Source organism: Homo sapiens, chromosome 11, assembly GCF_000001405.40.
Source record: "Homo sapiens chromosome 11, GRCh38.p14 Primary Assembly".
Taxonomy (NCBI): Eukaryota; Metazoa; Chordata; class Mammalia; order Primates; family Hominidae; genus Homo; species Homo sapiens.
Genome location: NC_000011.10, coordinates 5,261,039 through 5,267,724, shown reverse-complemented (window position 1 = coordinate 5,267,724; position 6,686 = coordinate 5,261,039). Strand labels below are relative to the sequence as shown.

General features: G+C 36.2%; 2 annotated features.

The window, feature by feature from the left end:
* Positions 206–952: a DNaseI hypersensitive site, noted in NCBI's record as "hypersensitive site HS-E1; observed in K562 erythroleukemia cells; the nucleotide coordinates are approximate for this feature". NCBI's record gives the evidence for it as "EXISTENCE:in vivo cleavage assay evidence [ECO:0001075][PMID:21321362]".
* Positions 206–952: a conserved region, noted in NCBI's record as "conserved_region; human and mouse orthologous HS-E1 region". NCBI's record gives the evidence for it as "EXISTENCE:sequence alignment evidence [ECO:0000200][PMID:21321362]".

The following is a 6,686-nucleotide window of genomic DNA, read 5'->3' as shown; positions in this document are numbered from 1 at the left end:
GAGTGTGATGAAGACTTTCCGTGGGAGATAGAATACTAATAAAGGCTTAAATTCTAAAACCAGCAAGCTAGGGCTTCGTGACTTGCATGAAACTGGCTCTCTGGAAGTAGAAGGGAGAGTAAGACATACGTAGAGGACTAGGAAAGACCAGATAGTACAGGGCCTGGCTACAAAAATACAAGCTTTTACTATGCTATTGCAATACTAAACGATAAGCATTAGGATGTTAAGTGACTCAGGAAATAAGATTTTGGGAAAAAGTAATCTGCTTATGTGCACAAAATGGATTCAAGTTTGCAGATAAAATAAAATATGGATGATGATTCAAGGGGACAGATACAATGGTTCAAACCCAAGAGGAGCAGTGAGTCTGTGGAATTTGAAGGATGGACAAAGGTGGGGTGAGAAAGACATAGTATTCGACTGACTGTGGGAGATGAGAAGGAAGAAGGAGGTGATAAATGACTGAAAGCTCCCAGACTGGTGAAGATAACAGGAGGAAACCATGCACTGACCTGGTGACTCTCATGTGTGAAGGGTAGAGGGATATTAACAGATTTACTTTTTAGGAAGTGCTAGATTGGTCAGGGAGTTTTGACCTTCAGGTCTTGTGTCTTTCATATCAAGGAACCTTTGCATTTTCCAAGTTAGAGTGCCATATTTTGGCAAATATAACTTTATTAGTAATTTTATAGTGCTCTCACATTGATCAGACTTTTTCCTGTGAATTACTTTTGAATTTGGCTGTATATATCCAGAATATGGGAGAGAGACAAATAATTATTGTAGTTGCAGGCTATCAACAATACTGGTCTCTCTGAGCCTTATAACCTTTCAATATGCCCATAAACAGAGTAAACAGGGATTATTCATGGCACTAAATATTTTCACCTAGTCAGTCAACAAATGGGAGCAATGTGCATTTTTTGATACATATTTTTATATATTTATGGGGTACATGTGATACTTACATGCCTAGAACATGTGATGATTAAGTCTAGATATTTAGGATATCCATTGCTTTGAGCATTTATCATTTCTATGTATTGAGAAAATTTCAAATCCTCATTTCTAGCCATTTTGAAATATATAATAAATAGTAATTAACTATAGTCACCCTACTCAAATATCAAACATTATGGCTTAATCCTTCTATCCAACTGTGTTTGTACCTATTAACCAACATCTCTTAAATCCCCTCCCATACACACTCACACTTTTTCCAGCCTCTGATAACTATCATTCTACTCTCTACCACCATGAGACCCACTTTTTTAGCTCCCACAGATGAATAAAAACATGTGATATTTGACTTTCTGTATCTGGCTTATTTTATTATCTATCTCTTTGGCATACCAAGAGTTTGTTTTTGTTCTGCTTCAGGGCTTTCAATTAACATAATGACCTCTGGTTCCATCCATGTTGCTACAAATGACAAGATTTCATTCTTTTTCATGGCAAAATAGTACTGTGCAAAAATACAATTTTTTAATCCGTTCATCTGTTGATAGACACTTAGGTTGATCCCAAACCTTAACTATTGTGAATAGTGCTTCAATAAACATGAGTGTAATGTGTCCATTGGATATACTGATTTCCTTTCTTTTGGATAAATAACCACTAGTGAGATTGCTGGATTGTATGATAGTTCTGTTTTTAGTTTACTGAGAAATCTTCATACTGTTTTCCATAATGGTTGTACTATTTTACATTCCCACCAACAGTGTGTAAGAAAGAGTTCCCTTTTCTCCATATCCTCACAAGGATCTGTTATTTTTTGTCTTTTTTGTTAATAGCCGTTTTAACTAGAGTAAGTAGATATCTCATTGTAGTTTTGATTTGCATTTCCCTGATCATTAGTGATGTTGAGAATTTTTTCATATGTTTGTTGGTCATTTGTATATCTTTTTCTGAGAATTGTCTGTTCATGTCCTTAGCCTACTTTTTATTGGGATTGTTTGTTATTTTCTTGATAATCTATTTGTGTTCATTTTAGAGCCTGGATATTATTCTTTTGTCAGATGTATAGATTGTGAAGATTTTCTCCCACTCTGTGGGTTGTCTGTTTATTCTGCAGACTCTTCCTTTTGCCATGCAAAAGCTCTTTAGTTTAATTTAGTCCCAGATATTTTCTTTGTTTTTATGTATTTGCATTTGTGTTCTTGGTCATGAAATCCTTTCCTAAGCCAATGTGTAGAAGGGTTTTTCCGATGTTATTTTCTAGAATTGTTACAGTTTCAGGGCTTAGATTTAAGTCCTTGATCCATCTTGAGTTGATTTTTGTATAAGGTGAGAGATGAAGATCCAGTTTCATTCTCCTACATGTAGCTTGCCAGCTATCCCCGCACCATTTGTTGAATAGGGTGCCCTTTCCCCACTTTATGTTTTTGTTTGCTTTGTCAAAGATCAGTTGGATGTAAGTATTTGAGTTTATTTCTGGGTTCTCTATTCTGTTCCATTGGTCGATGTGCCTATTTGTACACCAGCATCATGCTGTTTTGGTGACTATGGCCTTATTGTATAGTTTGAAATGAGGTAATGTAATGCCTTCAGATTTGTTCTTTTTTTTAGACTTGCTTGTTTATTGGGCTCTTTTTTGGTTCCATAAGAATTTTAGGATTGTTTTTTCTAGTTCTGTGAAGACTAATGGTGGTATTTTGATGGGAATTGCAATGAATTTGTAGGTTGCTTCTGGCATTATGGCCATTTTCACAATATTGATTCTACCCATCTATGAGAATGGCATGTGTTTCCATTTGTTTGTGTCTTATATGATTACTTTCAGCCGTGTTTTGTAGTTTTCCTTGTAGATGTCTTTCACCTCCTTGGTTAGGTATATATTCCTAAGTTTTTGTTTTGTTTTGTTTTGTTTTTTGCAGCTATTGTAAAAGGGGTTGAGTTCTTGATTTTATTCTCAGCTTGGTCATTGCTGGTATGTAAGAAAGCAACTCATTGGTGTACGTTAATTTTGTATCCAGAAACTTTGCTGAATTATTTTATCAGTTCTAGGGGGTTTTGGAGGAGTCTTTAGAGTTTTCTACATACACAATCATATCATCAGCAAACAGTGACAGTTTGACTTTCTCTTTAACAATTTGGATGTGCTTTACTTGTTTCTCTTGTCTGATTGCTCTTGCTAGGACTTCCAGTAATATGTTAAAGAGAAGTGGTGAGAGTGGGTATCCTTGTCTCATTCCAGTTTTCAGACAGAATGCTTTTAACTTTTTCCCATTCAATATAATGTTGGCTGTGTGTTTACCATAGCTGGCTTTTATTACATTGAGGTATGTCCTTTGTAAACCGATTTTGCTGAGTTTTAGTCATAAAGTGATGTTGAATTTTGTTGAATGCAGTTTCTGTGGCTATTGAGATAATCACATGATTTTTGTTTCCAATTCTCTTTATGTTGTGTATCACACTTATTGACTTGCGTATGTTAAACCATCCGTGCATCCCTCGCATGAAACCCACTTGATCATGGGTTTTGATATGCTGTCGGATGCTATTAGCTAGTATTTTGTCAAGGATGTTGGCATCTATGTTCATCAGGGATATTGATCTGTAGTGTTTTTTTTTTTTGGTTATGTTCTTTCCCAGTTTTGGTATTAAGGTGATACTGGCTTCATAGAATGATTTAGGGAGGATTCTCTCTTTCTCTATCTTGTAGAATACTGTCAATAGGATTGGTATCAATTCTTCTTTGAATGTCTGGTAGAATTCAGCTGTGAATCTATCTGGTCCTGGACTTTTTTGTTGTTGGTAAATTTTTATTATCATTTCAGTCTTGCTGCTTATTACTGGTCTGTTCAGGGTATCTAATTCTTCCTGACTTAAGCTAGAGCCCTGTATCTTTCCAGGAATTCGAACGTCTCCTTTAGGTTTTCTAGTTTATGCATGTAAAGGTGTTCATAGTAGCCTTGAATAATCTTTTGTATTTCTGTGGTATCAGTAATAGTATCTCCTGTTTTGTTTCTAATTGAGTTTATTTGCACTTCTCTCCTCTTTTCTTGGTTAATCTTGCTAATGGTCTATCAGTTTTATTTATCTTTTCAAAGAACCAGCTTTTTATTTCATTTAGCTTTTGTATTTTTTTGCAGTTGTTTTAATTTCATTTAGTTCTCCTCTTATCTTAGTTATTCCCTTTCTTTTGCTGGGTTTTGGTTCTGTTTGTTTTTGTTTCTCTAGTTTCTTGTGGTGTGACCTTATATTGTCTGTCTGTCCTCTTTCAGACTCTTTGACATCGACATTTAGGGCTGTGAACTTTCCTTTTAGCACCATCTTTGCTGTATCCTAGAGGTTTTGATAGGTTGTGTCACTATTGTCGGTCAGTTCAAGTAATTTTGTTGTTCTTATTATACTTTAAGTTCTGGGATACATGTGCAGAATGTGCAGGTTTGTTACATAGGTATAGATGTGCCATGGTGGTTTGCTGCACCCATCAACCTGTCATCTACATTAGGTATTTCTTTTAATGTTATCCCTCTCCTAACCCCCTCACCCCCCGACAGGCCCTGGTGTGTGATGTTCCCCTCCCTGTGTCCATGTGTTCTCATTGTTCAACTCCCACTTATGAGTGAGAACGTGTGGTGTTTGGTTTCTCTGTTCCTGTGTTAGTTTGCTCAGAATGATGGTTTCCACCTTCATCCATGTCCCTGCAAAGACATGAACTCATCATTTTTATGGCTGCATAGTATTCCATGGTGTATATGTGCCACATTTTCTTTATCCATTATATCGCTGATGGCCATTTGGGTTGGTTCCAAGTCTTTGCTATTGTGAATAGTGCCACAATAAACATACGTGTGCACGTGTCTTTATAGTAGAATGATTTCTAATTCTTTGGGTATATACCCAGTAATGGGATTGCTGGGTCAAACAGTATTTCTGGTTCTAGATCCTTGAGGAATCGCCACACTGTCTTCCACAATGGTTGAACTAATTTACACACCCATCAACAGTGTAAAATTTTTCCTATTCTTCCACATCCTCTCCAGCACCTTTTGTTTCCTGACTTTTTAATAATTGCCATTCTAACTGGCATGAGATGGTATCTCATTGTGGTTTTGATTTGCATTTCTCTAATGACCAGTGATGATGAGCTTCTTTTCATGTGTTTCTTGGCCACATAAATGACTTCTTTAGAGAAGCATCTGTTCATATCCTTTGTCCACTTTTTGATGGGGTCGTTAGGTTTTTTCTTGTAAATTTGTTGAAGTTCTTTGTAGATTTTGGATGTTAGCCCTTTGTCAGATGGATAGATTGCAAAAATTTTCTCCCATTCTGTAGGTTGCCTGTTCACTCTGATGATAGTCTTTTGCTGTGCAGAAGCTCTTTAGTTTAATTAGATCCCATATGTCAATTTTGGCCTTTGTTGTCATTGCTTTTGATGTTTTAGTCGTGAATTTTTGCCCATGCCTATGTCCTGAATGGTATTGCCTAGGTTATCTTCTAGGATTTTTATGGTTTTAGGTTGCACATTTAAGTCTTTAATCCACCTTGAGTTAATTTTTGTATAAGGTGTAAGGAAGGGGTACAGTTTCAGTTTTATGCATATTGCTAGCCAGTTTTTCCAGCACCATTTATTAAATAGGGAATTCTTTCTCCATTGCTTTTGTGATGTTTGTCAAAGATCAGATGGTCGTAGATGTGTGGCATTATTTCTGAGGCTTCTGTTCTGTTCCACTGGTCTATATATCTGTTTTGGTACCAGTACCATGCTGTTTTTGTTACTGTAGCCTTGTAGTATAGTTTGAAGTCAGGTAGCATCATGCCTCCAGCTTTGTTCTTTTTGTTTAGGATTGTCTTGGCTATATGGGCTCTTTTTTGATTCCATATGACATTTAAAGTAGTTTTTTCTAATTCTTTGAAAAAAGTCAGTGGTAGCTTGATGGGGATAGCATTGAATCTATAAATTACTTTGGGCAGTATGGCCATTTTAAAGATATTGATTCTTTCTATCTATGAGCATGGAATGTTTTTCCATTTGTTTGTGTCCTCTCTTATTTCCTTGAGCAGTGAGTGGTTTGTAGCTCTCCTTGAAGAGGTTCTTCACATCCCTTAGAAGTTGTATTTCTAGGTATTTTATTTTATTCTCTTTGCAGCAATTGTGAATGGGAGTTCACCCATGATTTGGCTCTCTGCTTGTCTATTATTGGTGTATAGGAACGCTTGTGATTTCTGCACACTGATTTTGTATCTTGAGACTTTGCTGAAGCTGTTTATCAGCTTAAGATTTTGGGCTGAGATGACAGGGTCTTCTAAATATACAATCATGTCATCTGCAAACAGAGACAATTTGACTTCCTCTCTTCCTATTTGAATATGCTTTATTTCTTTCTCTTGCCTGATTGTCCTGGCGAGAACTTCCAATACTATGTTGAGTAAGAGTGGCGAGAGGGCATCCTTGTCTTGTGCCGGTTTTCAAAGCAAATGATTTTTAAATTTCCATCTTGATTTCATTGTTGACCCAATGATCATTCAGGAGCAGGTTATTTAATTTCCCTGTATTTGCATGGTTTTGAAGGTTCCTTTTGTAGTTGATTTCCAATTTTATTCTACTGTGGTCTGAGAGAGTGCTTGATATAATTTCAATTTTTAAAAATTTATTGAGGCTTGTTTTGTGGCATATCATATGGCCTATCTTGGAGAAAGTTCCATGTGCTGATGAATAGAATGTGTATTCTGCA